Source organism: Homo sapiens, chromosome 1 (genome assembly GCF_000001405.40).
Source record: "Homo sapiens chromosome 1, GRCh38.p14 Primary Assembly".
Lineage (NCBI taxonomy): Eukaryota > Metazoa > Chordata > Mammalia > Primates > Hominidae > Homo > Homo sapiens.
The window spans coordinates 225,143,139-225,165,257 of record NC_000001.11 but is presented as its reverse complement, the minus strand read 5'-3'; the positions used below and the strand labels follow the sequence as shown (position 1 = coordinate 225,165,257).

The following is a 22,119-nucleotide window of genomic DNA, read 5'->3' as shown; positions in this document are numbered from 1 at the left end:
GATACACTATAAAATAATAAATATTGAAGTGACATTGACCTTCTTCAGAGTGACCCTGGAGCAACAGGAAAATGGAATAATATTTTTAAAGAATTAGAGATTTTAATATATTAAAGGAAAATAACTTTAAAGTTAGAATTTTATAATGAATTTGCCATTCAGATATGAGGGTATATCAAAAACAGTCTCAAATATTAAAGTTCTCAGAAGGTTTGCTACACAAAAACCTACTCTGAGAACTCTCTTGGAAGAAGTACTCAAACAGAGGAATAAATTGAAGATAAGCCTATAATAGATATAAAAAGTAAGTTTGAAACAATTTCTTATGAGTTTACTATTTTCTAAAAGAGAGAGAGAGAGCACAAGCAGGAGTGTGCAGAAGTCCAAGGAAAAAAGAGAGATAAAACATTTCTATAACAACCAGGAATTATAATTCTACATAGCATCAACATAATGAGAGTGGAAGTGTGGGGAAGACCAAAGAGTGTACTAAAGTACTTATCTTGAAAGGGACAAATATAGATATGAAAACATTTTGATCCTAGGGGCAAATAATGATGAATGTCAGTCTTCAGCTAAAAGAGGCATCAGCTAAAAGAGGCATGAATGTCAGTCTTCAGCTAAAAGAGAATAAATATAACAAACAAAGAAGAAAACTCGATCTACCCCATAGTGAGCAGGAAAAGAGAGAAAATACTGAGGCAAAAATAAATTCAATAATAACAGTAATATATCTTAAGACAACAGGATACATTGTATAGAAAAAGTTAAAAATCAGTAAATACAGGACAGATAATCACAGATTTGATTATAAGAAAACAAAGGCCATCAATATATGTCCTATAAGATAGACAGTTCAAACAAAGATATAGAAAGTTTGAAAAACAAAAGGATGGAAAAAGAACTTTTGAAGATAAACCTAGCATCAAAAAATTGGATAAAATTTTATTATCTGACTGAATAGATATTAAGACAAGAAATCACCAGTGGGCCAAAGAGGGATATAGGAGGCTGATAAAAGAGTGAGAAGATAGGAATACATATATAACTTACAACTTTAAAGTATATACAACAACAACAACTGACAGATGTGCAGAAGAAATAGCTATCTCAGTGATTTAGTTAAAATCTTAACATACCTCCTGCAGAAACAGATGGATAAATAAAGAATTAGAGACATCAAATCTCTGAAAAATACAATTAATAGCCTATATATACTTGTTTATAACTTTATACCCAATAGGCACAGAACATATTATTTTTTAGCATACATTAAACACTAAAAAAAGACCATTTATTAGGTAATATAGGAAACCCTGATACATGCAAAAGGCTAAATATATAAATTGCAGGATATAGAGGAGGAGGTAATACTTCCAAACTAATTCCACAAGGCCAGTGTTATCCTGATACCCAAACCAGACAAAGACACATCAAAAAAAGAAGACTATAGGCCAATATTCCAGATGGACATTGACATGAAAATTCTCAATGAAATACTAGCAAACCAAATTCAACAAAACATTTAAAAATTATTCATTATGACCAAGTCAGATTTATCCCAGGGATACAAAAATAGTTCAACATATTACAAATCAATCAATGGGATACATGACGTCAAAAGAATGAAGGACAAAAACCATATAATCATTTCAATTGATGCTGAAAATGCACTTGATAAAATTCATCATCCTTCTGGATAAAAATCCTCAAATAACTGTGTATAGAAGGAACATATCTCAACACAATAAAACCACATGACAGACCCACAGCTAGTATCACACTAAATTGGGAAAAACAGAAAGCCTTTTCTCTGAGATCTGGCACACAACAAGTGTGCCCATTTTCACCACTGTTATTCAACATAGCACTGGAAGTCTTAGCTGGAGCAATCAGACAAGAGAAAGAAATAAAGGGCATCCAAACTGGAAAGGAAGAAGTCAAATTATCATTGCTTGCAGATGATATGATCTTATATTTGGAAAAACTTGGAGACGCTACCAAAAAACAATTGGAACTGATAAACAAATTCGGTAAGGTTGCAGGATACAAAAGCAACACACAAAAATAAAAAATCAGTAGCATTTCTTTTTCCTTTTTTTTTTTTTTTTTTTTTTTTTGAGATAGGGTCTTATGCTGTCTCCCAGGCTAGAGTGCAGTGGCACAATCTTGGCTCACTGCAACCTCTGTCTCCCAGGTTCAAGCGATTCTCCCACCTCATCCTCCCCAGTAGCTGGGATTACAGGCATGTGCCACCACGCCCCGCTAATTTTTTGTATTTTTAGTATAGACAAGGTTTCACCATGTTGACCAGGCTTGTCTCGAACTCCTGACCTCAAGTGATCCATTTGGCTTGGCCTCCCAAAGTGCTGGGATTACAGGTGTGAGCCACCACGCCTGGCCAATCAGTAGCATTTCTATATGCCAACAGAGAACGACCTGAAAAAGAAATAAAAGTAATCCCATTTATAGTAGCTACACATAAAATTAAATACCTAGGAATTAACTCAAGAAGTGAAAGATCTCTATAATGAAAACTATAAAACACTGAAATTGAAGAAGACAACAAAAAATGGAAAGCTATTCCATGTTCATGGATTCCAAGAATCAATATTGTTAAAATGTTCATATTACCCAAAACAATCTACAGATTCAATGCAGTCCTATCAAAATACCAATGACATTCTTCACAGAAATAGAAAAAACAATTCTAAAATTTACATGGTATCACAAACAACCCAGAATAGCCAAAGCTATCCTGAACAAAAAGAACAAACTGGAGGAATCACATTACCTGACTTCAAATTATACCTCAGAGCTATAGCAACCCAAATAGAATGGTCTTGGCAGAGAAATAGACACACAGACCAATGGAAAAGACCAGAAAATAGACACACAGACCAATATCCATACAGACGAACGGAACAAAACAGAAAACCCAGAAACAAATACACACACCTGTGGTGAACTTATTTTCAACAAAGGTGTCAGGAACGTACTTCAATAAATGGTGCTGGGAAAACTGGATATCCATATGCAGAAGAATGAAACTAGACCCCTATCTCTTGTCATACATAAAAATCAAATAAAAATGGATTAAAGGCTTAAATCTAAGACCTCAAATTATGAAACTATTAACAAGAAAACATTGGGGAAAATGTCTAGGACATTGGTCTGGGCAAAAATTTCTTGAGTAATACCCCACAAGCACAGGCAACCAAAGCAAAAATGGGTAAATGGAATCGCATGAAGTTAAAAAGCTTCTGCACAGCAAAGGATGCAATCAACAAAGTGAAGAGACAACCCACAGAATGGGAGAAAATATTTACAAACTACCCATCTGACATGGAATTAGTAACCAGAATATATAAGGAGCTCAAACAATTCTATAGGAGCAAATCTAATAATCCAATAAAAAGTGGACAAAAGATTTGAATAGACATTCCTCAAAAGAAGACTTAGAAATGGCAAATGGGTAATGAAAAGGTGCTCAAAATTATTGATCATCAGAGAAATACAAATCAAACTACAATGAGATATCATCTCACCCCAGTTAGATGGCTTATATCCAAAGAGAGGCAATAACAAATGCTGGTGAGGATGTGGAGAAAAGGGAACACTCATACATTGTGGTTGAAAATGTAAATTAGTACAACCACTATGGAGAACAATTTGGAGGTTGGTCAAAAAACTAAAAACAGAGCTACCATATTATCCAGCAATCCTACTGCTGGGTATACACCCCAAAGAAAGAAAATCAGATATCGAAGACATATCTGCATGTTTGCTGCAGTACTGTTCACAATAGCCAAGATTTGGAAGCAACAGAAGTGTTCATCAACAAATGACTGGATAAAGAAAATGTGGTACTTACACACAAAAACACTATTCACCCATACAAAACAATGAGATCCTGTCATTTGCAACAACATAGATGGAACCGGTCATTATGTTAAGTGAAATAAGCCAGGCACAGAAACACAAACATTGCATGCTCTCACTTATCTGTGCAACCTAAACATAAAAACAATTAAACTTACGGAGACACAGAGTAGAAGGACGGTTACCAGAGGCTGGGCAGGGTAGTGGGGGAGTGGGAGGAAAGTGGGGATGGTTAATGTGCACAAAAAAATAGAATGAATAAGACCTAGTATTTGACATCACAACAGGATGAATACGAATATGAAAATGACTATGAAATTCCTACATATCTGAACTTACAGTATATATAACTAAAGCAGCACTTAGAGGGAATTTGAAAATCTTATAAGCTTATATTAGTAAAAGGAAGAAGAAAACAAATGAATTAGACTTCTTACTAAAAAAGCTGGAAACAGAATAGAAACAAAACCCAGAAGAACAAGGATATTTTAAAAGTTTAAAACAGATACCAAAGAGTTTGGAAACAGAAAAAGATATATTAAGTGAACAGAAAGAAGGCTAGTTTTTTGAGAAAAAAATAATATATCAGATAAACAGACAATGCAATCAAGGAAGAAGACACAAATTAGGAAAATAAGAAATGACTGAGCAAATAATCTCAGAAACATGAAACTGAAAGAATCTTAAGATAGTGGTTTGTTGAACTCTATATTTTAAAACTTGAATGAAATGGGAGTATCTATCTTGTTTAACAAAATTGATACTAGAAGAGATATAAATTTTAAATTCATAAATTTTAGATTTAATTTCACAGATTAGAACCATGAAAGAGCCATCCTCTCATAACTCCTGGTCCAGATGGTTTTCAAGGGAGATTTTCAAACTTTCCTACATCACCTAATAAATGGTCTTTCTGTGTGTGTAAGTTTTTCATGTGTGCTCAGAAATAATATGAATTCTGTGCTTGTTGTGTATAAAGTTATGTACATAGCCTATTAGTTATATTTAAAGAACAAATAATTATGAAGTGGTTTGTTTTCTAAATAAATTTTAAAAGTATTTTTTTGAAGACAGGTTGGATTTCAGGGAAAGGAATCAACATGTTTAATGGCCTGACACCTGATAAAATCCTGGAAAAGTCAGAGAACAGAAGCTCAAGGTAGAAAGAACAGGGAAGAAAGGAAGAGACAGAGGAAGGAAGAACAGGATATATTGAAAAGACAACCTGTCCAGCCAGATTGTGAAGGGCATTATATGTTAAAATACTTAATTTCAATTTTGTACTGCAGACAACATTAAGCCAACAGTTGCTTTGCTAACGTGGTCAAATGTATATTTTAGGAAAACAACTCTGGTGGCCATATGGGAAAATACTGGAATGCAGGGTGTGGTAGGAAGCTATGTAAAAATATTAACAAGAGACATTGAGTTCTTACCTAGATTAAGGCAATGACTGTGAGGCTATAGATATAAGAGAAACAATAAAGGACTTTGTCATTATAATATGTAATTTTAATAATTACAGAATATTTACAATTTAAGTTTTTTCATAATGCTGATCTAATTTGATTCTCTAGGCACCCTTTCAAAGTGGGAAGAACAGACACTATTATCCTCATTTCAAAAGATGAAAAAATTGAGAAACAAAATATATAATGATCATCCTTGCCTAAAGGTACATGGTTCATTCTTATTTCCATTAGGACATAATATACTGAAAGCTCTTTTTTTCCCCAAGGGGCACTATATATCTCCAAGTATTTTTATCCCCTCAATTATAACATGAATAAAGAATTTAGGAAGAACTGTAATATTTTTAATCCACATCTAGTTTCTTAATTGATATTCCACATCCAAATAATTGGTGATGATTTTCAAAGGTCTTTTTACCTCCAAGGCAAGTTGATTTACTTTCAAAACTGTCACTTCTGGAAAAATATCTCCTATAATATTTTCAAAAAGTGGGACATCTTCAGGAGGACATTTTGGCAAACTAGCTTCTCTTATAGCCTCGATAACAATCAAGGTTTCATCTGCTTCAGAAAGACTGTCACTGGTATCACTTCAATGGTAGAAGAAAACAAACACAGAGAACAAATTAGGGAGTCTGCTCTGCAGACACTGAAGACCATTAACATTCTGTTTTAGGGGTGGCTATCCCAATGTCCTTCCCTCCTCTCTCTCACTGGATAGCAGCCATATGGTTTGGGTGGAATTAATCAGATCCCCAGCTCCAGAAATAGGCTCTGACTGGTCTAGAACAATAAGAGCAACACCAATCCCCAGACATTGAATCAGAGAAAGGTACTGTATCAGTAAAGGTTTTTAGCTGCAAATAAAAGAAATGAATTTAGGCTAATGTAAAATAAAAAATAACATACTGATTTATTTAAAAATCTCTAGGAGGGCCAGAACTAGGCTTGCAAGCTATCCAGCTGGGAACAATGGCCAAAATCATCTACAGAACTGGTCTTATGAAAACATGTCTGCCATCATCAATGGATCCAGATAGCAGTGACTGTCATACCAATACATGACTGATGCTGGCACTGGAACTGCTCACTGCCTCTGCTATTTCTGGTAAATGGCTATAGCTACTGCCACTGCTGTCACCCTCAGCAAAATGGACTCTGTGAATATTCTTTTTTCACTAGATTCAGGTTCAGATTCTAATGCAGCTGTGTCTGACTTGCCAAGGTTGTGTGTCAAAGCCACAGTTACAAGAGAGTTTGGAAAATCAAGTATATGGCATAACAAATATTCACTAAAGTAACATAACCTCAGCTCTAGTCAATCAGTGTATGGCAGTCACTTGGACACGGTGACTCAAGGGTAGACAAGCGACGAGTCCACTCGAGTAAAGTTCAGGCCTTTAGTTCAGTAATATGGACAGCCCCAGTTATTATTAGAAGGTGTCCTGCCACCAAAAATGAAGCCAGCCTGAAATCAAGCCAGTGTATGGAGGACTGCAGTACTGAGAATATCTCAGACAAATTAAACTGAAACCTTAATCAAAGCAATCACACCCTGCCCCATCTCTGGATTTTCTGATTGGATAAAACAACAGTTCCCTCTACTATTTAAGCCAAATTGAGTTTTCTGTTAATTTTAACAAAAGCATACTAATATAAGTTATACTACATATGTTACTCTATAATAACAATATTTCATATACTAAACACTACAGTATATATTGTATATATTAAACATGTAATCAAAAGAAAAAAAAGTAACTACACATGCTATGATACCATATTAGAGATAGAAAGGAAGAAAACTGTTTCCTGCAAAGGTGTCCAAACATTTATCATTTCTTTGTCAGGAGAATATTCAAAATCTTCTCTTCAGGTTATTTTGAAATATACAATACTGTTAACTATATATAGTCACCTTAAACTGCAATACAACTGAAAAAATTCCTCCTATCTGTGATTTTGTACTCATTGTATTCCTATAACCACTCCATTATTACAATGGGAGAGTTATAGCGGGTTGGAATTGACTTTAGTCATTTACATTTCCCTGAGAATACCTCGCTGAGTCTTTCTTCTGAATGTATTTTGGCAAAGAGAGGGCAAGAGTCCACTTGAAGTCAAAGGGAGGGGGCCACATCAGAGCAAAAAAGGGTTCCAGACTTTATTTTTGGGGTCCTAGGGAATGACAATGGCCTTTTAATATTTTTTTCAAGACAGATCTTGCTTTATCTTAAAGGAAAATGAAAAAAATCAGGGATGACCAATATGTCTGGTAGTAGGGCAAGTGTTAAATATAGATATGGAGAGAAAATAGCTTAAATAAAATATTATAATATTGTTACAATATTCTGTTATTGGACAAAGGTAACACTTCATTAAAATATTACAAAAGAGTAATTTTGGAAATGGCATGCGAAATTACCAATGGGTCTATCTGTCATAATTTAAGAATAAATAATGAAAGCTTTAGATTAATGTCAACATCTAACTAAAATTTAAGCGTAAGATAGCTAATGTAACCTTGTTGTACCCATTATGATTGTCTTCATCATACCACTTTTTTGGAATTAGTTGAGACCCACTTTGTGGCCCAATATTGTGTTAAGGACTATAAATCTTTTAAGTGTATACTTGGAGAGATGTTAATTCTCTAGATGTTGCCAAGAAAATCTTTCCTACCACAAGGGTCCTAGGACTTCAGCTGTTGGATAATTAGTTTGTTTTCTAAACAAAAAGATTTGGAAAATTATTTTAAAGGAAAGAGGGAGAAAACTGCCTTTTTCCCTTAAAAGAAAAAAAATGCCCCCTACAAAGACATATTCACTTTTTAATCCCCAGAATCTGAATATTATTTAATATGGCAAAAGAGGTGATTAAGAATTTTAAGGCCGGGCGCGGTGGCTCACGCCTGTAATCCCAGCACTTCGGGAGGCCGAGGCGGGCGGATCACGAGGTCAAGAGATCGAGACCATCCCGGCTAAAACGGTGAAACCCCGTCTCTACTAAAAATACAAAAAAATTAGCCGGGCGTAGTGGCGGGCGCCTGTAGTCCCAGCTACTTGGGAGGCTGAGGCAGGAGAATGGCGTGAACCCGGGAGGCGGAGCTTGCAGTGAGCCGAGATCCCGCCACTGCACTCCAGCCTGGGCGACAGAGCGAGACTCCGTCTCAAAAAAAAAAAAAAAAAAAAAAAGAATTTTAAGAGGAGTTTATCCTAGAGTATCCAGATGTAAATAAAATCACATGTATCCTAATAAGAGACAGAGAGATGCAGGGACACACAGAGGAGTAGGTGATGTGACAGTGTGTCTACCTTTGAGTCATTGTGTCCAAGTGACTGCCATACACTGATTGACTAGAGCTGAGGTTATGTTACTTTAGTGACTATTTGAAAATGTTACATTTCCTGTAATTTGACGGAACAATAACAGATTAGAGTGCTGTGGTCGTAAGCCAGGAAATGCAGGCAACCACCAGAAGCTGGAGGAGGCAAGAAATGGAATCTGCCCAAGAGTCTCTGGAGAGTAAGCAACCCTGCCCACAACCTGGATGTCAGACTTCTGGCCGCAGGTCCTGTGAGGAAATACATTTCTGTTTTTTTAAGACACAACTTTGTCATAACTTTATAAGGCAGCCCAAGGAAATTAATACACTGCTTTCCATTTTAATTTAAACACCCTGAAAGTATATTTGAGAATTAACATTAGGTTCTTCCAACATGATTTATAAAGAGAAAGTAGAAAAAAAAGGGAGGGATGAATTACTATGCCAGGGAAATGAGACAAATCTGTAGTATTCTTGGGTGGCTAAGAAATAAGGTCAGAGGCCTTAGGAAGAATAGGGTGGGATAGAAGGAAAGGAAGGGACAGGGACGGGAAGAGGAAACAGGAAAGAACAATAATTATTATTTTGGTGTCACGAAGGTCAAAGAAACTTTTAAAAAGCAAAATTGTCTAATATTAATTTTTTGGTTGTTCACTGTGCTTTACTCTGATAACAAAAAATTCATCAACCCTCTTAAAATACAGTCATCTTCATCCTCTTAAAATAAAGCACCACAGAAGTCAATCACATGGCTTCTGTGGTGCTTTAAAGGAATCAAAGAAATGGGGCTGTCACATTTAGGGCAGCACAGACTAGAGAGAAGGGAGCTGCTTTCAGTGGCAGGAGACAGTTTCCTGTATACTGGAAATGGAAACTCTAATTGAAGGGTGCCCATGCAAACTTTAGATTTCCTGTCATTTGAAGAAAATCAAGTGCTTTGAATGGAGAGCAGTACTACTTTCACTGAAATACTTACGTAAAGAACTAGGTGACTACAGGACTATAAAATCCAGAGGACTTGAGGATATCAGGGAGCTATACTTGGGTTTCATATATGAGTGCTATTTATCTTTGTTAAAAAATCATAAAACATTTAACAACAGACGCCTATTTACATGCCATCAATATTATACAGGCCATTTTGCAATATATGCCTCAGTTCTTTTATTTTTAAGAAATAAATAATTATAGCTTTATCCCCTATCCTTTGCTCCCTTTTTATACTTATTACATGTGTATGTATCTGTCAGCAATCCATATTATTATGTTTTAAAAGGGAAACAGTTATCATGTTGATAGATCCTTTTGCAACATATTCATCTTTTTTTCAATTTTAAATAGGCAGTACATGAATATAGCCCCAATCATACCAATATGAAAAGGTATATCTTGTTCCTTTCTACCCAGAAAGGAAAAAGCATGTCTGCTTCCCTATAGTTTCACCAAGGTTTTGCCCAACTTTATATTTTTGTCCATCTGTTAAGTGAAAAACAGAATTTCAGTGTCATTTTAATTTGCATTCTTTCATTACGTGTGGGGTTGAGTGTATTTTCATATATTTAAGGCACTTTCATATTTCTTTTTCCAAGAACTATCTGTTGATGTCCTTTGCCCATTTTCCTGTTGATTTTTTCCCCAAATGTCTAGAAAATCTTTATATATTAAGAGGATAAGCTATGTGTAATATGAGTTACAATTTTTTCCCTAGTTTATCAATTGTCTTTTGACTTCAAAAAATGTATTTTTGACCATTTATAAATCTTTTTTTTTGTGGCTTCTAGATTTAGAGTCTTAGTTTTAAAGATCTTCCGTACTCCAAGAAAAAAGGACATATGTTTCTTCAAGTACATTTAAATTTTTTACATTTAAATTATTTTATCCTTTTAGAGTTTATCCTAGTAAATGATGTGGACAATGGTTGCAACTTGATCTTTATCCTGATGGCTGTTTAGTTTTCCCAAAAGCATTCATTAAAAAGTCTATTCTTCCCCATGGATTTTTGATATAATAAATGCCCAAAGCATATAGTTCTATTTTCTATACTGTTCCAATGGTTTGCTTTTCTACTCATGAGCCAGTACCACAGTGTTTTAATTATTGAAGCTTTGTTATATGTCTTAATACATAAAGGGATATCTCCCCTTCATTACTCTTGCTTTTTAATATTTTTCTAGCTAGACTCATTTTTCCATGTGAACTTTAGGACCAGCTTGCCCAAAAATAAGCAAATTAACAAACTAAATATCCTTTTAATATTTTACTGAGATTGCATTTCCATTCGTAAATTAATGTTTAGAGTATTTAAATCATTATGATGTTAAGTCCTTTAAGATGTTATGATTTTATTAATGTGGTATATTATTTCATTTAAATACATTTTCATTTCTTTCAATCCTGTTTTAAGTTTTCCTCATTTGAGTTTTACACATCTGTCACATAGGTATATTCATATAGTCTTTACATTTCTCATTGAGTTATTATTCTTCTAAATGAGGTCTTTTTTTCCATTATATCTTTTATTATGTAAAACACTTTTTTTTAAAGAATAGGCTCTCTATTGGGGAAAAGTACTCCGATTTTGTGCATTTTTTCTTACTCTTCTTTCATATTCTTAAATAATCTCTGCCTTACTTTACTATGACAGTCTGCGGGGCTCCCTGTTTTAACTTGGCATCATCACCCGTAATTCTACAAATTATTTTCCCAGCAGTATATAACTCCCTTTGACCTAACAATTCAAAATTCAACTGACCATTTAAACTCCCGTTTCTTCGTTCCAGCCATTATTAAAACTATCTTCAGAGATCTCAAGCCAAAATTATAATGATCCTATCAAACATTAAAATATTTGAATTATTAAAGTTTCTAAAGAAAAAATATGAAAACAAATGCACACAGTATATAGGTAAATTACAGGTAATCTATGCTCTGCAGGGAAACAGTGACATGAATCCAAAAAACCCTTGGTTATACTGCTAATGCTCTCATTCATCTCCCAAAGTGATGCTCCTAAAGTCTCACTCTTAAAGACTAACAAATATTAAAGGTGTTAAGAAATATCGGTATCTGAATTAAGTTTTCTCTGAACTAGAATGAGATAAATTGAAAGAAAATTAAAAGAGGAGGACTTTTGGAGAAAATGTGGTTAGCTGTCCAAACCATTTTGCATTAGCAACAAATACTCTGGCATATGCTAGAACAATAATTGTTAAAGTGTAGAACCCAGATCAGCAGCATCAGTAACAGTTTAAAACTTGTTAGAAACACAAATTCTCCAACCCCACACCAGAAGTACAGAATTAGAAACTCAGGAGTAAGGCCCAGCACTTTGTGTTTTAATAAATCCTCCAAATGATTCTGGTATACAATAAAGTTTGAGAATGATCGCTCTAGATGTTAACTTCCTTGTATGGAAAAAAATAGTCCGTAATTTAAAATAACGAATGCTCAATCACTCTTTCCAGATCTTGGAGGAAAGACTTAGAACCTTGACTGATTTTACAGTTTGCCTTATATGAAGCTCACATATGGACTTTATATGTTGATGGAAATTCTAGCTCCATTATTTTGATAGGAATTCTAGCTCCATTATTTGGTACAGTCCCAGGTCATCCCTGGACCAATCCAGAAAAGTATTACTTAAGGTTATTTTTATATAATCACCTTTAAATATTTTGAGAAAAGTAGCTATTTACCTGTTGTGAGAGCTGTTTGCGCGCTAATTCATAAAGGTTAGTTAGCTTTCCAGAGAGTGAATTTGCAGATTTGAAACCAAATGAAAACAATATTATTTCAGCAATCATTTGATAATGGGGCACCATCATTGCCACTGGGCGAAACAGAGATTTTAAGTTATCTGGGAGCTCTACTCCACCTCCGTATCTGAAGAGGAAAAGAAAAACAAACAATAAAAACACCACTTCTCAATTTTTCAAATAAGGAATCACATACTTTTCCCCAAAATAATTATATTGGTGTTCTGTGTGACCTTTATCTGAAAATTAGTTTACAAGATAGTTTTTATTGTACCTTTCATCTTACAGAGCTTCCTGGTTTATCATATTTTCTTCCTGTTCCTCCTCCCACAATTGACCTCATATTAGTTCCCTCTGATTCCTTGGACTATTACAGCATTCAATCAGATATTTTTGAATCTGCTCAACCTCCACTCCCTGCAATCACTATTGTCTTATTCCTCCTGCCACTCTCATCAGCTTTTCTGCCTGGGTCCTCTTTGTGAAAAACTTCTGACCCTTTTTCCTTTCTCTCTGGTATTCATGAAGTAAAAATATGTCAGTAGCTTAATGAATGTGAGATTATCCTTATCCATATGAACAGGTGCAGAGTGCAGCTGTTCATAAATGGTGTTGGGAGTGGAAGTGTTCAGAGGATGGTGGAGACAGATATATGGATAGATGCAAATGTCAAGCAACTCCATCTGTAGATAAGATTTAAGAAAATGATTTTTGTCTGTGTCTATTCCCACTAGATTTACTGATACTTACCTGGGATTCATGGTGATAAATACCGCACAAGACATATTGATACGAATTTCTTTTCCTTCCAGTACAAACCTAAAAGACATTACAGTATTCATCACTAGCACTGTTTTCTCTAGTCCAAAGCATGTTAAAACTATAAGTGAGTTTGGAAGCTTTATTAAGGCTGTGTTACATTTAAATGCAAACAGAGCACACTGGAAAAAACAATGGTGAGAGAAAAAAGAAGAAATAGGAGGCTCATGCTGAGCCAAAGTTGTCATCCCTGCTGGGATTCAGATGTATTTGATTATGTCCAAAGATGTTTCTGGGACCTGAGGCTGGAAGATACCTAGCTGAATGAGTTGACTTACATAGTAAAAGGAACCTGGGAGACACTTAGGGAATAAAAGAGCTCTGCCTGGAAGATATAGTAGAACACAGAATGGGGCACAGCACAGATATCCTGCTTCAGCATGGAACACAGCCTGTCTCCCAAGTGTCCCTAGCCCCAGTTTAAAAACTTTGGGACCACTATGAGATAGAATGCTTGGCATGAACATCAGTGTCTTACAATCAGCATCAGTGGTAGAGACAATGGGAGAAATCCTACAGTGATTTCTTGGACAGCTGATACCAAAGAGGGTGGTGAAAACAGGAAAACAATTGGGACAAAACCTGGGGAACTCTCTGGACATAAATGGGGAAAACTTTGCAGAGGATGAGGTGTAGAAGAGTCAGTGAAATGTTACTGTGACCCCCCCACCCCCAACTATATCCACAGATTTATGAGTCCTGTAATACTAGCTTTAACAGTTTGAACAAAATCCATGAGAGGAAAGCCACAAGTTAGTATCCATTAGCTTGCATTAGAAATATTAGATTATGATACAATTTTATATGTCCATAAATCATATGAGTATTAAAATTACCTAAAGAGAAAAAATTTTTGCTTTTATTGCTAAACATTAGTAATACTAATAAATACTGTTATTACAGAGCTTTTCAATAAAAGCACATTAATTCAGAGTAATAAGACAAGAGGGCTCTTCAGGTATGTGGCCAGTATACCCACTTTGCTTTTTATCTCACTGGGTGTGGTGGCTCATGCCTGTAATTCCAGCACTTCAGGAGGCTGAGGCGGGCAGATCACACTGAGGTCAAGATTTTGAGACCAGCCTGGCCAACATGGTAAAACCCCACCTCTACTAAAAATACAAAAATTAGCCAGGTGTGGTGGCACCACCTGTAATACCAGCATGAGAATTGCTTGAACCCGGGAGGCAGAGGTTGCAGTAAGCCGAGATCATGCCACTGCACTCCAGCTTGGGCAACAGAGTGAGATGTCTGCCTTAAAAAAAAAATGTATGTGGAAACAAATACAAATAACCATCAGATAATATTATGAACACCTCTAGGCACACAAACTAGAAAATCTGGAAGAAATGGATAAATTCCTAAACACACACACCCTCCCAAGGCTGAACCAGAAAGAAGTTGAAGCCCTGAACAGACCAATAATGGACTCCAAAATTTAATCAGTAATAAATAGCCTACCAACCAAAAAAGGCCCAGGATCGAACAGATTCACAGCCAAATTCTACCAGATATACAAAGAAGAGCTGGCTGGTACCATTCCTACTGAAAATATTCCAAAAATTGAGGAGGAGAGACTCCTCTGTAACCCACTCTATGGGAACAGCATCATCCTAACACTAAAACCTGGCAAAGACACAACAACAAGAAGAAACTTCAGGCCAATATCCTTCATGAACATCAGTGAAAGAATCCTCAACAAAATACTGGCAAATCGAATCTAGCAGCACATCAAAAACCTTATCTACCACGATCAACTAGGCTTTATGCCTGGGGTGCAAGGTTGGTTCAATATATGCAAATCAATAAATATATTCATTACATAAACAAAACTAAAGACAAAAAAATGATAATCTCAATAGATGCAGAAAAGGCTTTTGATATAATTCAACATCCTTCATGTTAAAAATTCTCAATAAACTAGGTATTGAAGGAACATACCTCAAAATAATGAGTCATTTATGACAAACTCACAGCCAACATCATACTGAATGGGCAAAAACTGGAAGCATTTCCCTTGAAAACTGACACAAGACAAGTATGCCCTCTCTCACCACTCCTATTCAACATAGTCTTGGAAGTTCTGGCCAGAGCAATCAGGCAAGAGAAAGAAATTAAGGGCATCCAAATAGGAAGAGAGGAAGTCGAACTATCCCTGTTTGCAGATGCCATGATTCTATATCTAGAAAAACCCATCATCATGGCCCAAAAGCTTCTTTCAGTGAAGTCTCAGGATACAAAATCAATGCACAAAAATCACTAGCATTCCTACACACCAACAACAGCCATGCCAAGAGCCAAATCAGGAACACAATCCCATTCACTGTTGCCACAAAAACAATAAAATACCTAGGAATACAGCTAACCAGGGAGATGAAAGATCTCTCCTAAGGAAAACTACAAAACACTGATCAAATGGAAAATGGAAAAACATTCCATTCTTATGGATAGGAAGAATCAATATTGCTAAAATGACCATACTGTCCAGTGCAATTTATAGATTCAATGCTGTTCCTATCAAATTACCAGTGACATTTTAATTCACAGAATTAGAAAAAAACTATTTTACAATTCATATGAAACAAAAATGAGTCTGAAAAGCCAAGGCAATCCTAACCAAAAAGAATAAGGCTGGAAGCATCACATTACCCAACTTCAAACTATATTACAATGCTACAGTTATTATCAAAACAGCATGGTACTGGTACAAAAAACAGGCACATAGACCAATGGAACAGAATAGAGAGCCCCAAAATAAGGCTGCACACATACAACCATCTGATCTTTGACAAACATGACAAACTCAATGGAGAAAACACTCCCTATTCAACAAATGATGCAGAAGATTGAAACTGGGCCCCTTCCTTTCACCATATACAAAAATCAACTCAAGATGGATTAAAGACTTAAATGTAAAACCCAAAACTATAAAAACCCTGGAAGACAACCTAGGCAGTACCATTTTGGACATAGGAATGGGCCAAGATTTCATGATGAAAACTTTCAATTGACAAAAGCAATTGCAACAAAAGCAAAAATTGACAAATGGTATCTAGTTAAACTAAAGAGTTTCTGCAAAGCAAAAGAAACTATCAACAGAGTAAACAGACAACCCACAGAACGGAAGAAAATTTTTGCAAACTATGCATCTGACAAAGGCCTAATATCCAGAATCTATAAGCAACTTTAACAAATTTACAAGCAAAAACAAACAACTCTATTAAAAAGTGGGCAAAGGACATGAAGGGACACTTTTCAAAAGAAGACATATATGCAGGCAACAAGCATACAAAAAAGAAAGCTCAGGCTGGGCACAGTGACTCATGCCTGTAATCCCAGCACTTTGAGAGGCCAAGGAGGGCACATCACAAGGTCAGGAGTTTGAGACCAGCCTGACCAACATGGTGAAACCCCATCTCTACTAAAAATACAAAAATTAGCCGGGCATGCTGGCACATGCCTGTAATCCCAGCTACTCAGGAGGCTGAGGCAGGAGAATTGCTTAAACCCGGGAGGCGGAGGCTGCAGTGAGCTGAGATTGTGCCATTGCACTCCAGCCTGGGCAACAGAGTGAGACTCCGACTCAAAAAAAAAAAAAAAAAAAAAAAGCTCAACATTACTGATCATTAGAGAAAAGCAAATCAAAACCACAATGAGATACTATCTCACATCAGTCAGAATGGCTATCACTAAAAAGTCAAAAAATAACAGGTACTCACAAGGTTGTAGAGAAGAAGGAACACTTATACACTGTTGGTGGGAGTGTAAATTAGTTCCATTATTGTGAGAGACAGTGTGGCGATTCCTCAAAGACCTAAAAACAGAACTACCATTTGACCCAGCAATCCCATTACTGGCTATATACCCAAAGGAATACAAATTGTTCTATCATAATGACACATGCCTGGGTATGTTCATTGCAGCATTATTCACAATAGCAAAGACATGGAATCAACACAAATGCCCACCCATGGTAGACTGGATAAAGAAAATGTGGTATATATACACCATGGAATACTATGCAGCCATAAAAAAGAATGAGATCATGTCCTTTGCAGGAACATGGATGGAACTGGAAGCCATTATCCAAAGCAAATTAATGCAGTAGAAAACCAAATACCTCATGTTCTCACTTGTATGTGGGAGCTAAGTGATGAGAACACATGGACTTATAGTGAGGAACAACTGATACTAGGGCCTACTGGAGGGTGGAAGGTGGGAGGAGGGAGACAATCAGAAAAATTTACTAATGGATACTAGTTCATACCTGGGTGATTAAATAATCTGTACATCAAATCCCCATAATACCAGTTTACCTATATAACAAATCTGCACATGTGCCCCTGAACTTAAAAGAAAGGTTTAAAAAATGTGGAAATAAAAAAAGCAGCATTTGTTTGGGTTCTTCAAATGCAATATTCTAAGATAAAAAGATAATATGAAAATTTAAGCTGAAAAAAAATTAAAATATATTTGCATCAGTGTCCTGGTAGCTCAGGAGACTGTTCCAAAGCTTGGGCAAGAATTTGGGTACTTCTAAGTTGGCCTGAAAGTTAGAGTTATAAATATATTCACATTATTTGCCAAGTAATGGAAACATTCAAGGTAACTGCCATTCCTTTTGGTATGTGCTTTAAAAAAAAAACACCCCAAAGACCTAAACACTTATTGGGGAAAATATTTAACAATAATTAACTAAACATTAAGTGTGTATCAGATTTCAATTCAAAAGGTATAAACACATTCGACAAATACCTGGCAGAATAGTTGTCTTTTGCAGCCTTAATTGTTAGGATCTGTGAGGCAATGACAGAGAGAACTTCCAAATCAATTAGATTGAATTCATCAAAACAACTCCATGCTCCTGACTGAACTAGTCCAAAGAAAAATTTTCTCACTATCTTTTAAAAAAAAAAAGAGATTGATTACTAAAATTATTATAATGGTGAGAAAATTTACTGGGATATTAATTTGTATGTGTTCTCCCCATGCTACCCAAACCAAGCAAAGGCCTTTTGCATTTCCCCCTCCTAGGCATTTTTATAGGGTTGAAAGCAGCAGCTGCTTAGATGCTAGACAAGTCAACTACTCTGCCTTTTGCTTCTAAAAGCCCACTCAGCAGAGCAAACTCTGATGCTCACAGGGACCGTGAAGACAGGGCCACAGCTTCTGACGGATTGCACAGAGATGTACCAGATCCCTCCCTGGACAGCCATTTCCCTCACACAGCTGCACCCTGGGGCAGAGTCTTCAGGACAACTTTCTGGCAGATGGGCGTAAAGTGTGTGAATCTGGGGGCTGCCTTTTCTGGATCAGGCAAAGATGCCTTATGGCTTAGTGGCGGGCAGCTGATGGGCAATGCAAAAGACTGAACCACAGGCCCAGATAAGGCAAGACTGCAGTGGGCCCAGCTAAAGCACGCAGCTGCTGCTGGGCTTCTGCCACTTGCCAGAGTGCAGGCCCAGGCTGGCCAGGTGCAGCAGTGTTCTGTGAGAGGCTGCAAGTCTGGGATTGAAATCTATTGGTTTGTAAATGTTAGCAACTAAAACAAAGCAACAAAACAAACAAAAATATTGACAGGCCTAACTTCTGTGGGCTGAATGCAAGTTGAGGGGTGCCTGAACTCTATTGCTAGGTATGGCAAGGAGGAAAGGAAGTGGGAATCGGAATGAGTAAGTGAGAGCCTCAGACCGAGAAGGATGTAGAAGATTGTTCCTTCCACTGAGCAGCAGGAATCAGATCTTGTCTTAATTTAAAATTTTGGTATTTTGTTCATGGGACGTTTGGGGGCATTAATTTTGACTTTTAAAATATTGCATTAAATATTATTTATTTTAATTAGCAGGCTTTTTGGCCTCACTCATGTGGAGCCCTCATAGGCCCCACTAGTGGTTTCCAGGAAGGAGGCAAGAGAGTCTTATTTGGTAAGTATCTTAAAAATAATAATTGATCAACTTATTTATGTTGATATTTTTAACGTACTAAGTGAGCACAAATTGGAAATGCAGGATCTCAGAGGTAATATGCTTTGAACACAAATAAAATGACAACAATAAAATGTAGAATGTTTGGACTTAACATGCAAAACAAATTGCAGTATTTTGAAACTTTGAGTAGATTTGTAAGAGACATATTTCAGAATGTTATGTCAGATAATGTGCAAACGAAACAAGACTGACAAACTTGTAATCATTATCTATATAAACACTCAAATATTTGTGTTAATCATAATCTTGTCTTAATGATTACCTTTTCAGTAAATAAATGTATGGGGTTAGGACTTAAAATAAATGTATGTTAATAAAGCAGTACTCTTTAATTGTTTTATATATTCATGTTCCATGTAAGTTTTTTTATTGAAAAGAATCCAACTGTTGAAAAAAGTTTGAAAACCACTGTCTTAAGGAGTAGTTCACCTGAATAAAAGCATCGTATATGTTTAAAATTTCTATTACATTCTAGGTTTCTAGTCCATTAGTTTAAAAGAAGTAACAGCATTTAAAGTTCTGTTAATACTTGATGTTTGTCTCAGATAAATATTTTTCTTGTTCTTTTATTCTTCAATGAATTGTTTTATGTTTTATGTGTACAATATTTCTTCCTGACACATATGTTTAAGGTTTACCTTATAATCCAAATCCTCAAAACAGTTGAAGACCACACAATGTTTGCCTAAGGACTGGGAAACAAAAATATTTTAGTATCTTTCTTGAATTATGACACAAAATACTAATGTTAAAACTGCTAGAGTAATAAAATGTCTTTATGCTTTTGAGAAAACTTTGCAATATGGAGATGAATTAAAAATCAAATTTAGAGATTCACAAAACTCAATATAATAGTATAAATGTACATATACTGTTACAGTTCAGTTGATTAGTTTATAGAGCATTAAGGTCATGTTTTTACATAAATCTATGAATAAAAAACTATGAAAAAATTCTAGGTCACAAACTATATCCTTTGCTTTCATCAGTAACTACTACTGCTTTTCTCTGTCTTTCTCTCTCTCTGTCTCTTTCTGTCTCTCTCTGTCCCTCTCTTTCGGTCTCACTTTCTCTCTCTCTCTCTTTCACACACACATACACACACAAACACACACACACACACAATGATATTAATCATTCACATGTTAGTCAGTAAAGTAGTATTCCAACTAAATAAAAAGCATATGTTGGCTTATTGAGATTCTAAGCTCCAGCACACAATAGGCATTCAAAACATCATTGATGAATTAATTATATGTGAGTTAATGAATGTGCTTGTTAATGCAATGAACATCTTAATAGCAGGAATGGTGTAAATTTAAGATAACATCAAAGTTTGTGTGACAGAAAAAGAAAAAAGTTTTTATTCTGGATACAGAAACCACTTACTTTTGCTAGATCTTTGACAGTCTCAGTTTTTCCTGTACCAGCTGGACCGGCAGGACAGCCTCCTAGATTCAAGTGTAGTGCTTCCATGAGAGTCAGCCAGCATCGGTCTGTGAGAGGCGTAATAACCAATCTTGAGGTACAGCCCAAGTACTCATAGCCATAAGTAAAGCTGGCATTTCCTTGAGACACATAGCACAACTTTTGTTTTTCATTCCATTTATATTGCAAATGTCTGAAAGCCAAATTTTAAATGTTCATATTATTTGGTTAAATTATTTTTATGTATTTTCACATGCAGAAAAAGAATCAAGATTAAAAATGGAGCATTGATTAAAAAAACAAATAGAAGTTAAAAAATTAAAATCAAATGAGAAGTGTGATATAAAACTCATCAATGACTGATCATATTAGGTATGAAATAGTAGAACTGAAGAATAAAAACATGTGAACATGCTTCCCTCTGAGGCTAATGGCCTTGCTGAATCATGCTGCTTTGGTGTGATGTCAACCCAAATGGAGGATTTATATAAGAATCATCCCTCTGAAGTTTATTATGGTTTCCAATAAGACTGTGATTGAAGATGATGTTTATCATAATCTGGATCCTTATTATGAGTGTACTTAAGAGAAATGCTATTTGTTCTATGTATCAAAACAAATTGAACTTTGTAGAAATTGATTTGTATTTATATCATGAGCACTGTGAATTGTGTAGCTAACCATAAATGTTCACATCTAGAAGGTTTTGAGTTACATTTATGAACTATTTGTAGCTTTGTGGTATGAATTCTTGACTCTATTTTATATCCCAGTTAGTGCTAACTCAATTCTCAAAATAAACACATTTGAGCACTATCAATGAAAAAGTATCAAACAATATTTTGTAAAGAATTTTATGTTTTTTTTTAAATATTAAAACATTGTCAAGCAAAAACTCATTCCTACACATTTTTAATTGTTTAGTGCTGTTTTGATTTTGAATTACAAGTGGAGGCAGGTACAATATCTTCTCAGAATTTAGTCATCAAAGCTCTTACACAGGCACTAGTTTTTGCCTTTGTTTGCCTTTATTCACTCATTCCACTCACTCTCAACATATGCTATCATGTAGTAGTGTGTATATCCTTGTGAGCCCTTTTAAATCCTTTCTGGAACAACAGGGAATATTATAAAGAAATCTGGAAAAGTGAGTAAATTTTAAAAATAAACTTAATTAAAAATAAAAGAAAAATTTAAAATTATAAGCTACTACCTTGCAAAAGTCTCAGATGAGAGAGCATATATCCACAAGAGAGAGAAAAGTATAACACTTGTGGAAGAAAATGTTTTTTTAAAGAAGAAATTTTGTTATCCTAAGAACCTGTATTTGTTTTATGATTCAAGTAGAGTGCCAAATCATTATTTTGATAGAAAATCAATTTCCAGAGCCTTTCCCTTTCCATTAGTGTTCCCTTAGAACACAGCTTCTCAAATTTTCTCAGTTCACTGCA

The 22,119-nt window shown here is 35.4% G+C and overlaps 1 protein-coding gene across 25 annotated transcripts in view, besides 2 other annotated features; it reads right to left on the bottom strand.

Annotated features, from left to right (window-relative positions):
• The window catches only part of DNAH14 (dynein axonemal heavy chain 14), a 469,633-nt gene that overhangs the window by 234,029 nt on the left and 213,485 nt on the right, over window positions 1–22,119 (bottom strand). For 22 of the 25 annotated variants that reach the window (XM_011544062.3, XM_011544067.3, XM_017000296.2 and 19 more), the window contains 7 exons: window positions 20,630–20,861; window positions 19,879–19,932; window positions 18,009–18,154; window positions 13,185–13,253; window positions 12,375–12,561; window positions 11,432–11,508; window positions 5,773–5,944 (listed from right to left, as the gene is read on the bottom strand). In XM_011544062.3, the coding sequence (XP_011542364.1) occupies window positions 5,773–5,944; window positions 11,432–11,508; window positions 12,375–12,561; window positions 13,185–13,253; window positions 18,009–18,154; window positions 19,879–19,932; window positions 20,630–20,861 (937 nt within the window). Of the gene's footprint in view, window positions 1–5,772; window positions 5,945–11,431; window positions 11,511–12,374; window positions 12,562–13,184; window positions 13,254–18,008; window positions 18,155–19,878; window positions 19,933–20,629; window positions 20,862–22,119 lie in introns of those variants that run through there. The other 3 variants (XM_011544061.3, XM_017000299.2, XM_011544081.2) reach the window with 3 other exon arrangements.
• Window positions 18,100–18,599: an enhancer, noted in NCBI's record as "H3K4me1 hESC enhancer chr1:225334361-225334860 (GRCh37/hg19 assembly coordinates)". NCBI's record gives its function as "activates a minimal SCP1, AML or CMV promoter by ChIP-STARR-seq in naive H9 embryonic stem cells {active_cell/tissue: H9 hESC(naive)}" and the evidence as "EXISTENCE:reporter gene assay evidence [ECO:0000049][PMID:30033119]".
• Window positions 18,600–19,101: an enhancer, noted in NCBI's record as "H3K4me1 hESC enhancer chr1:225333859-225334360 (GRCh37/hg19 assembly coordinates)". NCBI's record gives its function as "activates a minimal SCP1, AML or CMV promoter by ChIP-STARR-seq in naive H9 embryonic stem cells {active_cell/tissue: H9 hESC(naive)}" and the evidence as "EXISTENCE:reporter gene assay evidence [ECO:0000049][PMID:30033119]".